The 16,950-nt window shown below is 34.9% G+C and overlaps 1 protein-coding gene across 9 annotated transcripts in view; it reads left to right on the top strand.

The window, feature by feature from the left end:
- The window catches only part of RBM46 (RNA binding motif protein 46), a 47,542-nt gene extending 39,850 nt beyond the window's left edge, over positions 1-7,692 (top strand). For 6 of the 9 annotated variants that reach the window (NM_144979.5, XM_011531695.4, XM_011531693.3 and 3 more), the window contains exon 5: positions 6,747-7,692. In NM_144979.5, coding sequence (NP_659416.1) covers positions 6,747-6,946 — 200 coding nt within the window. In that variant the 3' untranslated portion in view covers positions 6,947-7,692. Of the gene's footprint in view, positions 1-5,646 lie in introns of all 9 variants that reach the window. The other 3 variants (NM_001277171.2, XM_006714120.2, NM_001277173.2) reach the window with 1 other exon arrangement.
- The last annotated feature ends 9,258 nt before the right edge of the window (positions 7,693-16,950 follow it).

The raw sequence follows: 16,950 nt of genomic DNA on the forward strand, positions 1-16,950 counted from the left end.
TAATATTGCCATTACAATTAATAAAATCTGTTCTCAGACTCAAAGAGAAATGCTTGTTATACTTGAGACTTAAAATTTTATTTTTACAGATCTTAATCTTAGCATAAAAATTCAAATAAGTGATACCAGTCTTAGAGGTCCTTACAACTTTTTATAGTTCAAAATTTGAATTACAAGGACTGATTTTACTTATAGAAATAAAACTTGAAAAGAATTGCTGTATTTTCTAAGGCTTTTCTTTTTTGCCCACATGGTTTATTTAGTGAGCTACAACTTTTTTTTTAACCTATACTGAAGCCTACCTGGATTGCTGCAGCTCTGATTGTAATTTTTTCTCTCATAAGCTGCTGTTCTAGTACTAACTTTCCAAATAGCTTAGAAAGTAGCACCAAAAGGAGTTGGATATAATTATCTCTTAATACAAAGGTAGCAAACTAGAAGATCTAGATGTATTTCTTTTTTTAATGGAAAGCAACTAGACTTATTTTCAGTACAAATAAGTATCTGTTTTTTTATTCTTGACCCTCTTTGTGTTCTTTTTGTTTGTGTGTTGCCTTGCCTGTGAAGGCATTTGAGTTTTTAATTGCTGTGGTTAATATATTTGAAGATTTTGTTCTGTTTTGTTTTTAATGTTTTCCCATTATGTATTAACTCCATTGAGATTTCTTCCCTGATATTCAAAATTCAGTGAAATAACTGCTTCTAAGGTCAAACAGGTTTGGGAAAAACTGTATACTAAATACTTCCTTGGGAAAATCATAGTGCATACTAGCATCCTAGGTAATTGAGGTAGCAACCTGTTTAATGTATAAGCCTATCTGTTCTAAATTTTTCTTGAGATTATTTGGCTATAGGATGCTTGTTTTAAGAAATTCTTGCACTTTAATTGTATGGGATGTAGTTTGGGAAATACTGAAGCTAACCCAAAGACACACTTGAGTTTTATTTGTTTTTATTTAATATGTTTCTGACTTTATTGAGGTATAAATAAAATACAACAAAATGCCCATACTTAAAGTGTACAATTTGGTTCATTTTGATTTATGTCTACATCTATGAAATGACACCACAATTAAGAAAACAAACATTTCTTTCACCCCCAAAAGTTGCCCGATGCCCCATTGTAATCCATTCTTCCTTCCATTCTCTTTCTCAGGCAGCCACTCTAGATTAGTTTGCATTTTCTAGAATTTCAACCCCTTGCTTTCGAAGGTTTAAATCGTAATCTTTAGATAATTTAAAATTTCATTTTAAAGAAATTTCATTTCTTTATTTCCTCTGCTTATTTAGCTCTTGATTTTCTATACTAGAATAGAAAGTACAAAATAAATGATAGGTATTATTTATGCTTATATGATAGGTATTATTTATGCTTATATGATATTTTAATCTCTGTGTTTGAACCCTGCCATATTTTATGTTCTAGGAATGTATAGTAGTATAGCTTAAAAAAAAAAGTTTTTTTTTGCAGATAAAATTTAGTGTTTGAGTGAAAGTAAGTTATTGAGATAGTTAGTTATGGTTATTGAATGTTAGAAATTGAAATAATAATAAAATGGTACAATGAGGATTTTTTTTAAAAAAATTTCAATACAGATCTCATAGGTATCTAAAGAAATGCTTAAAATATGTATTAAAGGTCTGATAAACATACTTCATAGATGAAAAAATCAGGTGTCTCATCCTTAACACTGGTGGGAATGTAAAATAGTATAGTCTTAGCTACCTTGGAAAACAGTTGAGCAATTTCTCAAAAAGTTTTACTGGGAATTACTGTATGACTCAGCAGTTTCATTCCTAGTTACTTACTAAAGAGAATTGAAAACATATGTTCACACAAACATTTGTACATATTATTCCTTAGCAGTATTATAAATAATAGCCAAAAGGTTGAAACAACCCAAATACCTATCAACTGATGAATGGATAAACAATGTGTAATCTAGCTATATGATGATACATTATTCAGCCATTAAAAGGGATGAAGTTCTGATACATGCTACAACATGTATGAGCCTTGAAAGCATTATGTTATGAAGTCAGTTCCAAAAGACCACATAAATTTATACAAAAAGTCCAGAATAGGCAAGTCTGTAGAAATACAAAGGCTAGTAGTTGCTGGGGCTGAGAGAAGAGAGAGTGGGAGTAACTGCTAATAGATAACAGAGTTTCTTTTTAGGATGATGAAAATGTTCTAGAATTTTATAGTGGTGCTAGTTGTACATGTGATAAAAATCACTAAGTTGCACACTTAAAGATAGAAAGTGGATGGATATGGTGGTAGAACTCACATAGCTAACAGAGAAGAAAGAAACCAATTATGAGGAATATATTTTTTAAATGAAAAATTAGTCTAAAGAGTATCTAGTCAGAAACAAAAGAAAAAGGGAGTCAAAATTAATTTGAGAAGACACTTTTATCTCACTTTAAAGTCTCTATTAAGGGTTTTCCTCATCTTTAAGACAGAAAAGCAGCTAAGAATTAGTGGTGTTTGGTCAAGATGTGTAAGACGAATTAGAAACAAAACAAGAAATACATTGAAGCAATATATCTATCCACTGTTCACATTTTCACTGAGAAACCTACTGGTATTATTCACTAACAGACTGTCTTTGTGTTGAATACAGAAAGGTGGTAGACCAAATTATAGTAACCACATAAACAGGCCTGACAAGTATGTGGTATATGTATTACCAGTCTCTACTCTTGCTCCTGTGTCAGATGTGGCATAAGTTGTCACTCGCTTTCCTGTTTATTCCAGACACACCACCAGAATCTTTCTGAATCTAGAATTCCTGTTAGCCATTACTGCTTAATTAGAATTGCCATTTAAGGTTAAGCTTATTTGCTGTTCTTTGTATATATCAAATTTGTTCTATGAAAATATGTGTATTCCATATATAAATAGGAAATTAAAGATAACATTTGATCAGGTTTTCTATAATCATTATGTCAGAGCAGTTGTTCTCTTTTTTTTTTTTGTTTTCCACAAAACAACCTTTACTTCAAGTGAAAGTTTAGCGTATAAAACAAGGGAATGCAGAGCTACATGAGCTGAAATGAGAGGTTGGAATGGGTATGATTAAAATTGCTGGCAGTACCAAATGTTAGAATGTGGAGCAACTCGAAGTCTCATATCTTACTGGTGTGAATATAAAATGGTCATACTAGAGAACTCTTTAAGCAGTATGGGTCATCTGTCCTATGACCTAGCAATCCCATTCCCAGGTATTGCCCCAAAAGAAATGAAAACATATATCCACCAAAAGATTTGTATAAAAGTGTTCATAGCAGCTTTATTCATAATAAAACTTAGAAACAACCCAGATATTCATCATTAGGCAAATAGATAATGAAATTGAAGTATATTCACACAATGAAGTAATAACCATAAAAATGAAGAAACTACTGAAAGATACAATGTGAACGAATCTTAGAAATTATATTGAGAGATTGTCTGGATTATCTTTCTGGAACAATTATACCGAAACAAGCTATTTGAGTTTCGACTTGGCAAGGCAAGATATGTCAGTGGATTCTCTTTGTGAATGGAAAAAAAAAGCATCCTTATTTTGTATAGAGGCCGCCTCTTTTTGTAACTAATTTTTTATTGGTAAAAATTAATTCAAATGTGCTTAAAATTATGTTGAGAGAAAGAAGATAGACATAAAAATACTTAATGCATATTATATGAAGTCTAAGAACAGGCAAAACTGATCTATTGAAATAGAAATCAGAAGGTGGCTGCCTCCAAGTGAAGGTCTGTTGGCTGGAAAAGGGTACAGGAAATTTCTGGATTGGGGATATGTTTTATATCTTGTTTTGAGTATCAATTACATAGATTTATACAATTATCAAAACTCATTGAAATAAACATAGGATGTATGCATTTTATTTTATATAAATTGTATATCAGTGTTCCAAGTGTTAAGGCAGTTGAATAACACTTAGTGTAAAACTTATATTCTGAAATTGGCTCTGTATCATTCCTTAAGAAGGGATCTGAAGTACAGATCCCAGTCTGAGGAAGAAACAGTGGGATTGAAGAGCTAAGGATGTTAATTGGGAAGAAAAACTAGGGGTGGGCAAATAAGTATATGCTAGGAATGTTAACTAATTTATTAATATATTTTCTGAAAATTAGAATTTCTACTTTTTATTTCCTATGATACGAAAATTATATGTTACAATAGATCTGAGGAAAACATGATTGTACTTTTAGGTTCATCCCACTAAGCATTTTCAGCTTACATTTCATTCATTGAAGTTTGGTTTGTATTGTATTTTCCAACCAGCTAGATGTCTTCCTGAATATATTTAGATTCTTAGTGATTTTAGTAAAAAATTTTATTTTTGAAATGCTTGTAAAATCTTACAAACTTCTGAAACCTTTTGTTTCCTAATCTTTGTTATTTGTGAAGGATTTTTTTCCTTTGGATTTATGCTACATGAATAAAGTCATCAACTTTTAATTTTGTATTTAATTTAGTCTCCTTGAAAATATGCAGTACAACAAATGATCATTGTATATTTAAGGGCTTAAGTTCAAGGTTTACAGTGGGGACCATCAGGAATGAAGATAAGCTAAGCATTATGCTAGTAGCCAACTGCTTGGCTATCTGCTTTCTGAAATCTTTCCCTGAAGATAACCTTCTGTGTTCACAATTCATGAATAGGCTGCATTACCTGAAGATACCTTCAGTATCCACATTTCTTAAATAGGCTGCATTACCTCTTGAGTGGATGTAAACTCAAAACAAAAGTGATTTCTCTTTGAAAACTACATTTCCCTGTTTGCAGTAGCCTGCTCTTCTAAATTGTATTGTTGATGACCACATTGTTAAAATTTGAAGAGCTAGGTGTATTACAGATAGATGGCTAATAAGAAATTGACTGTATTTGCATAATAATTTTCAGAAGGAAAGAATCAGACTTTTTTAAATAAAGCAGTTACTTGGGAATACATGGAGCCGGTAATGGTCCCGTTTATACTCAATACCAAACCCTTCAGGTGAAGTGGATCCTTTTAAAAAAAAAAAAAGAAAAAAAAAAAGCATGAGGCACGTTGGCTCACACCTGTAATCCCGGCACTTTGGGAGGCTGAGGTGGGTGGATCACTTGAGGTCAGTAGTTCAAGACCAGCCCGGCCAACATGGTGAAACCCCGTCTCTACTAAAAATACAAAAATTAACTGGGTATGGTGGTGGGTGCCTGTAATCCCAGCTACTTGGGAGGTGGAGGCAAGAGAATTGCTTGAACCCAGGAGGTGGAGGTTGCAGTGAGCTGAGACCGCACCATTGCACCCCAGCTTGGGCAACAAGAGTGAAACTCTGTCTCAAATAAATAAATAAAGATAAATAAATAAATAAATTGTATGGTACGTAGAGTCATCCTACTTTGGATGTTAGAAAAGTAAATGGTATCAAAGTAATTCCTCATTCATTTTCAAAATAGTGAAAATATTTGGAACTGGTTACTTTAAATGTATTTATGTCTTCCTGGAACAGATCGCTTTGTTGATCTTATGGTACCATTCATAAAAAGGTTATAAAATTAGTTTAATTAGAGTTTTATAATGCTGGAAATTAAACCTATATTTAACTGATTTTCATTTTTCCTTTTTTTTTTTTTTTTTTCCTGAACTAGGTCCTTTCTGATGTTGCTTGAGCTTACTCTCCTGCAGTTGATCTCATTCCTGTTGGCTAAACATTAAGTCCCATGACAACATTAAGTTAATGCACCTATGGTGTAGGCATCATTTATAGTACCAGGACAGTATTATAGAAAAAAACCTTACCTGTACATTAGATGACCTAATTTCTTTTCTTCCATTCCTAGAAACACCATAATGTTTCTAAATAATGATTTTATAGTCATTGTCACACCCTTGGCTTATTTTACACTAAAGAACATAGTTGAGTTTTTGGAAGGTACAGGATTTAAAAATTTGGTCTGTAATATACACACACACATATAAATGTTGCAGTTAATGAAACAGGAAATTATTGATGCATAAGATGAATGTTTATTGTGAAACAGTATTTCAAATGTTATTTTTTAATAATTTGGTTTAATTGGATATTTTTCTGTACTATAAGTTGATAATGGTTTTTTGAAGTAACTATAAGTTGATAATGGTTTTTTGAAGTTTATTTAATAAAGGTGATTCATTATACTGTTTTATCATACCAGTAGGACTTTTAATGTTAAATCAGTATGTTGAGTTAGATAAGTGTTTATATTAGTATTTAAATAATGAAATATTGGCCAGCTAGTTTATACCAAATGTTTTTGCAGTCCAGGGGTGAATGTTTCTGCTGGTTTGATGCCTAATACAGCTTCAAAGAAAAAAAAAAAGCAAATATGAATTCACTGTTTTTTATCTTTTCTTCATGGACTACCCCTTAGAACCAAATTTAAAAGAAGCTTCTTTGTAGAGCAAGAGAAATGAGACGTTCTCTTTTTCTATAATCAAAACTCCAAGAAATAGTAGATATCCAAGAATTCATTCTGGTAAGATCTCTGAAACATTGCGTGAGTAAAGGAAAGGTAATACTGACAAAACTCTCAGGATTTGCAGTGCAGTGAATGCTGAAATAATCTTTAACCAGCAATATAGTATCATCAAGATTTCCAGTGTTAGAACATTATGTTAAAATGTGATTATTGTTTAATGCTTTGTCTCTTTAAATTAAATTTGTGTCCATAAAGATGTACAGCATAATTGTTCATGTATTTATTTACAGACTACAATTTCCATCGCAGCTCAATAAATAGTCTTTCCCCTGTTAGTGCTACCCTCTCTTCTGGGACTCCCAGCGTGCTTCCTTATACTTCAAGGCCTTATTCTTATCCAGGCTATCCTTTGTCACCAACAATATCACTTGCTAATGGCAGCCATGTTGGACAGCGGCTATGTATCTCCAATCAGGCCTCCTTCTTCTGAAGAAAATACTAACATTAGTATGAAAATTTGTGTAAATTTGTAGTATGAAAACTTGCAAATTAAAATATTGTTTTATTTTAGAATCGGGTTTGCATATTTGGTTTTAAAAAGGTATTTATTCCAAAGTACTAAACATCAGCTATAATTCAGAATAACATGGAGTTGTAGAATTTATAAAAATGCAAAGTTTAAAAAGTTATTCAGTGGTTTCTCTTGATAAAGGTACAGCAAACTACTATTCTTTTTAAACTTCTAGGATTTTCTTCTACTTTCTGAGTGGGCAATAGAACCTAGTCATTTATGTTTTTTTTTTTTTTTGCATAATTTTACTAAATAGTATTTCACAAATATTAAAGCACTTGAAGACAATGGTTATAGTAGATTTGATTACCAAGGATCACTATCTGTACTGGAGATTAGAACAATTATATGACCAGAAGCATCTAACCATTATGTAAAAAGAAATGATGAGACAAAAAGATTAAGATACAAATTTTGTGCAGTACTAAAGAAAAAGCAGTCTACCATTGTGGTCCTTGAAAATAACTATAGATATTTTTGTTATTTGTTAGACACAAATTATAATTTTGTTGTTAATGTATTTAAGCATTTTATAGTTATGCTTTGTGTTTTTGATATTCTTTGTATTGTTAATAACAAGTGTTATGGGTTTTTAATGTTGAAATCATGTGTTAATTTTTGTACTTGAATTCAAATTTTTTGACATTAAATATGTGATGCTTCTATTATGTGTTTTCTTTATATTAGAATGACAAAACCTTTAGTTCTCACAATCACTTTGAGCTTTTCTTGAGAACAATTTCACTTACTACTTACACAGTCATAGGCTCAGTGCTTTTATGAGACTCAAGTGAAGGATGTTGAAGAAAGTTGTTTTTATATACCCAAAAGAATATAAATCATTCTATAAAGACACATGCACACATATGTTTATTGCAGTACTATTTACAATAGCAAATACATGAAACCAATCCAAATGTCCATTAATGACAGACTGGATAAAGAAAATGTGGTACATACACACCGTGGAATACTGTGCAGCCATAAAAAGGAATGAGATCATGTCCTTTGCAGGGACATGGATGAGGCTGGAGGCCATCATCCTCAGCAGACTAACACAGGAACAGGAAACCACCACATGTTCTTGTTCGTAAGTGGGAGCTGAACATTGAGAACACATGGTCACAGAGAGGGAAACAACACACACCAGGGCCTTTTTGGGGCTGGGGGTGAGGGGAGGGAATTTAGCAGACAGGTCAATAGGTGCAGCAAACCATCACATATGTATATCTATGTAACCTGCATGTTCTGCACATGTATCCCATTTTTTTTGGAAGAAATATAAATTGTTTTGTAAAATAGTAACAAAAGTTATTTTCAGGGACTAATAGAAATACTTTGTTAATAGACCCAGTGAAGTTTCTGCCTTTCAGTTATGAATAATTAAAGAATTCAAGTCATTTTCACTTAAATATTTTAGTATACATTTATAATGATTGCTAATAGTTTTTATAATTGATGTCTGAGAAATCTTTCAGATAGCAAACATTACCTTTTTTAATCAACTCATTGTGCAGCTATATGGGACAGCATTTGTAAACAGAATTTGAAATAGTTGCAAATATTTTTTTCTCGAGTTTCAAGCAGAAGTTATATGGAAATTAATCTCAGTTTTTTCAACCTTTAATGTTCATTCCATATAAATCATATGCAATACTTACCTTCCAGTTACTGCCTTAGGTTTTCTAATTTAAATGAGCATAGACACTGTGCTTAAAAAATACTATTTTTCTCCTTACTCAACTTTGAATTGCATAGATTTTGCTCTTTAATTGCCAGGTATATGTGGGGCTCACAGGTGCATATCACTCAGCAAGCATACAGTGAGTATTTTGTTGGTGATTGTGGTAATACCTTTGGAATACAGAGGTTACTGAGACTCCAAGCCAGAAGAAAAAGAGACACTTAGTTTTTCATAGAAATGTTTGAAATAGCCCATCATAATAATTGCAAGTTTCCACATAGCTTTTTCACTTTCAATAAAAATCAAGACAATTGAGCTTACCAACCACACATTGTATTTGGAGATCCATGGTGATTGGATGAGAAGCATATAAGCTGTGTTAGTCAAATCCCACTCCATTAAGTAACAGCTGTTTGAACCTGGACACAGTTATTAATCTAGCCGTACTTTTCACTTCTGTAGTCATAGTATAGATAGGTAAAACGCCTGGCAAATGGAAGACATTCAGGTGGTGGGTGGTATTATATGGGTATAGTTATATGAAGAGCATAGTACTTTGTAGTTTTTCATCCCTACTCTCTTTAACTGGAAATATAGAAATTAGCACATTCATGTCAAACACTGTCCCTTTCTGTCATGTTCTGGATGAGCAATTAATCTTGTTTATACTGAATAAAATTTTATTTGAGTTGTGAACATAGCTACTAATTATTTGCTGCTGTAGTTCTTGCAGAATAAGCTGTATAAGGCATTTGCTCCAAATGAGGGTTCCTTAGATGATCACAAACTATTGATAAGTCTTAGCCATATGATGTATCTCATTGGTCAGGGAAACCGTTCTAAAGACAGACTTCAAATTTTGTATGCAACATTACACAAAGAACCATGGCTGACATGTGGAAGTTTATGACCTATTATGATGGAGCTAGGACCTGTCCTGGTTAAAATCCCTTGTAAGCAGAAAGATCAGAAGGTATGCAGAAAGTTTAATTAACCCTATCATTCTTCCCTAGTTTGTTTTATAGTTAGAGAGGGAAAGACTTCTTTATGACTTAAAATGTAGAAACCATAATAGAAAAGGTTGCTAAATTCAATTTTAAAAAAGTCTGCATGGCAAGGAAGTAACACAGGTATGTCAAAAGACGATAAATGACTCCGTCTCAAAAAAAAAAAGCGATACTTGCATGTTGTTTTACAAAGGGCTAATCTCTAATATTTCTAGATATCAGAAAAAGTAACCACCCATGAAAAAAATGGATGAAATGTCTGAATAGGCAGATGACAAATGGCTCCCAAACCTATTAAAAAGGTGGCTCATGTCATTATAGGAAAGGCAGATTAAAAGTTCAGATTGGCAGAAATTCATAGTTTGATAAACGTTTGGCAAGCCTGTAAATAAGTATTCTCATACATTGTCATTGGGATTAAAAATTGGTATTTATATAAGAAGCAACTTGGCAGCTATTGTCCAAAATTACATACAAACATTTTGATCCAGCAATTCTACTCTGGGATATACTTGGATGTGTGTATGTGAAATGGTACATGTGTAAAGGTATCCATCATTAGAGGACTGGTTAAGAATACATTTATCAGTACATACTATGAAGCTGTACAAAAGAGAATGACTATTCTTGATACAGGAAGAGAGGATGTTAAGTGAAAAAGAGCAAGGCTTATTTAGGAATGTATGTATAATACAGTGTTCTATGTTTTGGTAAAGAGGAAAACAACATTTGTATGTGCTTATAGGTGCATACAGAACTCCAGAAGGATATGCAAAAAAAAAAAAGAATTATGAGAGAAGTGGATAGGATCACAGTGTGACATCTCTTTCACTTGCAGACACTAATAAATGATAAATAATTTTAAGTAAAAAGACACATAATTGTTCTCAGAAACAAAATGAAGAGCTCTAGTGAACAGTAATCTGAACAAAAACACATTAGGAAAAGCTGCACTGGATCTCTTTACTGAGTGACCAGAAGTTGGTGGATTTTGAGTAGAAACCCAGGGCAAAAGCTCTGCAGATGGTAAACAGCACTGCAAACAGCTGTGAACTTCACTGCTTTTGACTCAGTGGGTCCCAATATACTTGAAATGTCCTTCACTAATTATGATGTCTGTAGATATGAAGCACGTTCAGTCTGGTAGGAAAATCACAGAGAGGGCCTGTAGGATTTGATGCAAAGCTGTGTTCTTTTAGGCAAAGAATTAGTCTGCTTTTGAGAAATAACTCTTAGCCAGTTATTAAGCCCTAATAGGTACTGACTATGGGATACCCATCATGAATTGGGTGTTATTTGATCACGAAATTCATAAAGTTGAGCATGTTCAACAGCACTGCTACAAAGTGGAATATGGTGACAGTCTAGAAGCTTCTTCCTGCCATACTACCATCACTTGGCCTGTTATATCATGGAACGCACCCAAGATCAGTTGGCTGAGGGAGAAATCTTTGGAACCTAGTATCCTAAGGATAATGGAAGTCACCAAAAACAAATCTCTTTACACATCCTATACAAACTATATAGAAAAATAATAAAAAGCAAATGAAACCACACATGATCCACACCTTCAGCATAACCACAGAACACTACAACTTTTCAAATTACCTGTTAATAAAAATAAATATATATGGACATCAAGTTCCAGCAATTATGTTTTTAGCTCTTGCCACAAGCCTTTGGAGAAGAAGGGGTGTTTTGAGGGGCTGGAAAACTACACAAGAGAGAACAAGAGTGCAGAGGCCCTAAAGGTGAGCTAACAATGTCCATCCCAGGTATGAAAATACTGTAAGAATACCCTGGTATATAAAAGTACTGACTAATGGAGAATGACTTAAAATCACGTAGACTTGAGATGGCAGTTTTGGAAAGGCATTACTTATGGGAGAAAAGAGTTAAAAAGAACTGGGAGGTACCCTTTTTTTGTGGATGATGAAAGGGAAAAAAGCAAAGGGGAAATTCAGAATCCTGCAAGACAAAGAGAACCAAAAGAGCATGGGTGACATCAGCAAGATGGCAGAATAGGAATCCCTAGACCTTTCTTCCCTTACGGAAATGTGGATTTAGTAATACGTAGACCAAATTGAAGCCCAATAAGAAGATTTGTGGCACTATCACCAGAGCCCCTACCCCCAGCATGGTGAGGCTGAATTGGGAGGAAATTTACAACTCCTGTTTTCTTCCTGGAGAGGGAAAAGGGTAGAATGTAGGTCCAACATTTTGAATTTCAGATTTACCAGAGGGGCCAGTATTTATCATGCTTGAATCCAAACACTGAAAGGAATATGGCCTACCCTGTGGGCAGGGGTTGTGGGGCGGCGGGGTAGGTGGGGGTGCTCTCCAAAAACAAAGTACACCAAAGTCTGCGGTACCACAGAAATTAGATGGAGCTTCAGCACTAAGGCTTTTTATAGCACCAGGGTTGCCACAGTATGGCAGAAAGACATCAGGGTAGAAACTGGCAAATCTCTTCAATTAGGAGATTATACACACGAGACCAGAGAGGGCACATCTTCAGAAAAGGCTTGAGATATCTTCAGAATTTCTAGCTGGAGTGAGTGAAGAAAGTTCTCGTTGTATGAAACTAGATCATAAAATTTGGGAGAGGTGGCTGATTCTTCAAGTGGCAAAATTCCAGTAAAAAATAACAAGACATACAAAGAAACATGACACATTTAAATGAATAAATATCCAGAAAACAACCCTCAATAAATGTAGAAATATTAATTACCAAAGAAGTAAAAATTACCGTTATAAGGATGTTCAGTGAATTAAAAGCACAAATAGACAACTAAATGAAATCAGGAAAACTATAAAAAACAAAATGAAAATATTGACAAAGAGAAACTATGAAGAAGAACCAAACAAATTTTTGGGCTGAAAAATACAATAGCTGAATTGAAAAATTCACTAGAAGGAATCAACAGCAGACTTAACCAATCACAAGAAAGCATCAGCAAATTCTCAAGACAGGACTTTTGAGATTACCAAAGCAAAGAAGCAAAAAGAAAATGACAGGATAAAAGTGAAATGGTAGAAACATATATTTCGTGTAATTAGGAATACAAAAAGAGTAGGGATGGCCATACTTAGAAAATGTAGACTTTAAGAAAAAACTGTCAGAGGCAAAGATGGATTTTATATATATATATATAAAATCATATATATAATATATGTATATAAAATATATATATTATATATAAAACATATATATATGACTAAAAGGGTCAATTCATCATAAAAATAACACATATGCATCTGACATTAAAGCTGTCAAATATATGAGGAAAATACAGAACTGAAGAGAGAAATAGATAGCAACACATGGTTTTAGGATACTTCAATACCCCACTTTCAGTTATAGACAAAACAGATAGAAAAGCAACAAGGAAACAGAAAACTTGAACACTGTAGACCAATTGGAACTAAAAGATACATACAGAACACTTTACCCAACAACAGTAGAATGCACATTCTTAAATGCAGATGGAGCATTCTCCAACATAGACTACATGTTTGGCCATAAAACAAGTCAACAGATTTAAGAATATTGAAATCATACAAAGTATCCTCTCACACCACAACAGAAGGAAACTAGCAATCAATAGCAGAAGGAAAACATGAAAATTCACAAATATGTGGATATTAAACAATATACCCTTAGGCAACCAATGGGCCATAGAAGAAATCATAAGATTTAGAAAGTATCTGGAGCCAAACAGAAACAAATCATACCAAAAGTTATGGGATGCAGCAAAATCAGTACTAAAAGGGAACTTTATAGTGGTAAATGCTTATAGTAAAAAAAGGATCTCAAATCAACAACTTAACCTTACACCTCAGGAACTAGAACAAGAAAAATAAATAAAACGTAAGGCTAGCAAAAGGAAGAAAATAAAGACTAAAGTAGAAATAAATAGAGGATAGAAAAGAAAAAACAAATCAGTTAAACCAAGACTTAGTTTTTGGAAAGATCAAGAAAATTGACAAACCGGTAACTAGACTAAGAAAAAAAGGGGACTCAATTATCTAAAATTAGAAATAAACGAGGGAAAACTACAACAGATGTCACATAAATAAAAATAATTACAAAAGACTAACTGCTATAAACAATTACACACTAACAAACTGGCCAAACTAGAAGAAATGGATAATTTATAGAAACAAAACCTACCAAGAGTGAGTCATGAATAAATTAAAAATCTGAACAGACCTATAACTAGTAAGGAGAATGAGACAGTAATCAAAAACCTCTCAAAAAGAAAAGCCCAGGACCAGATGGCTTTACTGAAGGATTCTATTAAACATTTAAAGAAAAATTAGGGCTGGGCATGGTGGCTCATGTCTACAATCCAAGAACTTTGAGAGTCTGAGGTGGGAGGATCACTTGAGCAAAGCAATTTGAGAGCAGCCTGAGCTATATGGTGAGACCTCCATCTCTACAAAAAAATAATTTAAAAATTAGCCAGGTGTGGTGGCACCTGTCCCTGTGATCCTAGCTACTTGGGAGGCTGAGGTGGGAGGATAGCTTGAGCTTGATAGGTTGAGGCTACAGTGAGTTGTGATCATGCCACTGTACTCCAACCTGGGTGACAGAGTGATACTCTGCCTTAAAAAAGTTGTAAACAGGCCGGGCATGGTGGCTCACGCCTATAATCCCAGCACTTTCGGAGGCCAAGGTGGGCGGATCAGGAGATCAGGAGATCGAGACCATCCTGATTAACATGGTGAAACCTTGTCTCTTCTAAAAATACAAAAAATTGGCTGGGCGTGGTGGTGGGCAACTGTAGTCCCAGCTACTTGGGAGGCTGAGGCAGGAGAATGGCATGAACCCGGGAGGCAGAACTTGCAGTGAGCCAAGATCGCACCACTGCACTCCAGCCTGGGTGACACAGCAAGACTGCGTCTCAAAAAAAAAAAAAAAAGAAGAAGAAGTTGTAAAGAAAAATAATTAACATCAATCCTCAGATTATCTGGAAGAATTAAAGAGGAGGGAATCCAAACTAATTTTATGAGGCCAACGTTACCCTTGTACCAAAACCATCAAAAGACACCAAGAAAACTACAGTACAATATCCTTGATGGATACTGATGCAAAATTTGTAAACAAAATACTAGCAAAGTAAATTCAACAGCACATTAAAAGGATCATACACCATGACTGCAGGGATCTGTCCTGCAGACCCCAGCTGCATAACGGATGAGATACGTACTCAGACACCAATGTTCAGTGAAAGAGTGGGCCAGGGGGCTGCCAGCACTGGCAGCCAAAGAGAGTTTGCAGCCCCTCCAAGCTGGCAACCATTTATTTACTACAGATTTAATTGACAAAGGCTTTGAGTGAACACACCTGTGGGTAATTAACCTGGTCGCCCCCACCCAGGAGAGGGCCATTCTGCCTGTGAATGATCAAAGGTTGATTTTAGGACCACATGAGTAAACAAGCTATTTAGATGAACTACTCTACATTCCTTTGTATCTGCACCCCAAGCTATTAACTCTAGGTAAGGATTAGGCTGCTTTCAGCCATAACCCTATCCTGAGACTTTTGCAAAACCTTCCAGCCTTCCAAGAAGGTTTGTGTCTATATCCTATAACTTCATCTTAAAATTTTTCCCACCAGCTTGACCGAACTCCCACATCTCCCTCTTCCCTGTTTTTTTTTTGCATCAGGTTCTGTTGATTGAAGCATGCAGATATGTGCAACAACAGGTCTGTGGGGCGAGGCAGTCATTGCTCTTATTCTGGCATTGCATCCTAGAATTAGCAAATAACATAAGACAGTCATGAGTAAAATTAGCAACATTCTTTTCCAATCAAGGAACGACCTGCAGCATTGCTTGGCGCTTCAGTTTGATGTGTGCTGTTACTAAGGAACCTCACTGGGGATAAGTTAACCCCTTCCAGCCAAGCAGTCTCATTGTTAGAAGCTGGGAAGGAAGTGTCTGCCCAGATAACAGGGCTGAAAAATGGCAGGTTTAGAAGATGAGCTTAATTGAGTGTAGCAGGTATAGGTAGCAGGCACAGGGAGAGAATAAAAAAGGAATACATTATCTGGAGTGAATGGTGCCTGTTCCCGGAGCAGGATTTGCTCAGTCTTCTGACTTGTCTTCTTCAGTATAATGTCTGGGGCCTGTGTTGTTTGAGGAAGCCGCATCCTCCGGGGATGCAGGTCCTGTAGGGTCAGTTCCTTCATTTCTGGTACCGGCTTGGTTCCTAGCCATGCCATGGTGTGGTTTGATGCGTCATGCTGGAATCCAAAGAGGACCTGAGGGGGTGTAGACACAAGCATACCCTCTTCCCCAAGTTAACAGTTCATTTGGACCACACCGTACATTGCTGTTTACATCTTTCAATAAAACTGCAGGTTTTATGTCTTGAGAGGTTTCAGCAAAGTGCTTTTCTACAGCTGATTGAAATTTATCATCTAAATTTAGAAAATTAAGGGTAAATAAGACTTGCGCCAATAGTGTTGCAGGGTCTTTACTCACACTCCCCCTTTTTTATTTTTTGAGCATATTTTTAAGGGTTGAATGGGTACGTTCTCCTATGGCCTGTCCTTGGGGGTTATACGGGATGCTGATGGAATATTGGATGTTCCAAGTGTGACAAAATTGTTGGAATTGTGAACTGGCATAAGCTGGACAATTATCAGTTTTAATTTTTGTGGGCTGTCCCATAAGTGCAAAAGTTAAAAGAAGATGTTTAATGACATATTGAGTGGACTCTCCAGGTAAGGCATGGGTACTAATTAGATGAGTGTTTGTATCAACGGATACATGTACATATCTTAGTTTTACAAATTCAGGGATGTGTGTAACATCTATTTGCCATACTGATCAGGTTCTAATCCTCTAGGGTTAACACCTGTTGAAGGAGGGTACATGCCTGTGAGCTGGCAATCCAGGCATTGTAGGATAATTAGTTTAGCCAGTCTCTGGGTAAGTTGAAATTGTTTAGATAAGTTTCTTCAATTTTGGTGGGAAAATTGATGTGATTGGGTGGCTTGGTCAAGCAGTGATGTCATAACCTGAAGGTCTGCTTGATCATTGCCATAAGCCAATGGGCCAGGCAGTGAGCTGTGGGCTTGAAGGGGTATAATAAAAATAGGATGTGTACATTGATCTAGCAATTGCTGAAGTCAGAGAAAAAGAGCACACAAGGTGGGCTCCAGAGTGGACTTAATTAGGGCTATCTCAAGGTTCTGAAATAAAAAGTAGGCAGAATCACTA

Source organism: Homo sapiens, chromosome 4 (assembly GCF_000001405.40).
Source record: "Homo sapiens chromosome 4, GRCh38.p14 Primary Assembly".
In the NCBI taxonomy this organism is placed as follows: Eukaryota; Metazoa; Chordata; class Mammalia; order Primates; family Hominidae; genus Homo; species Homo sapiens.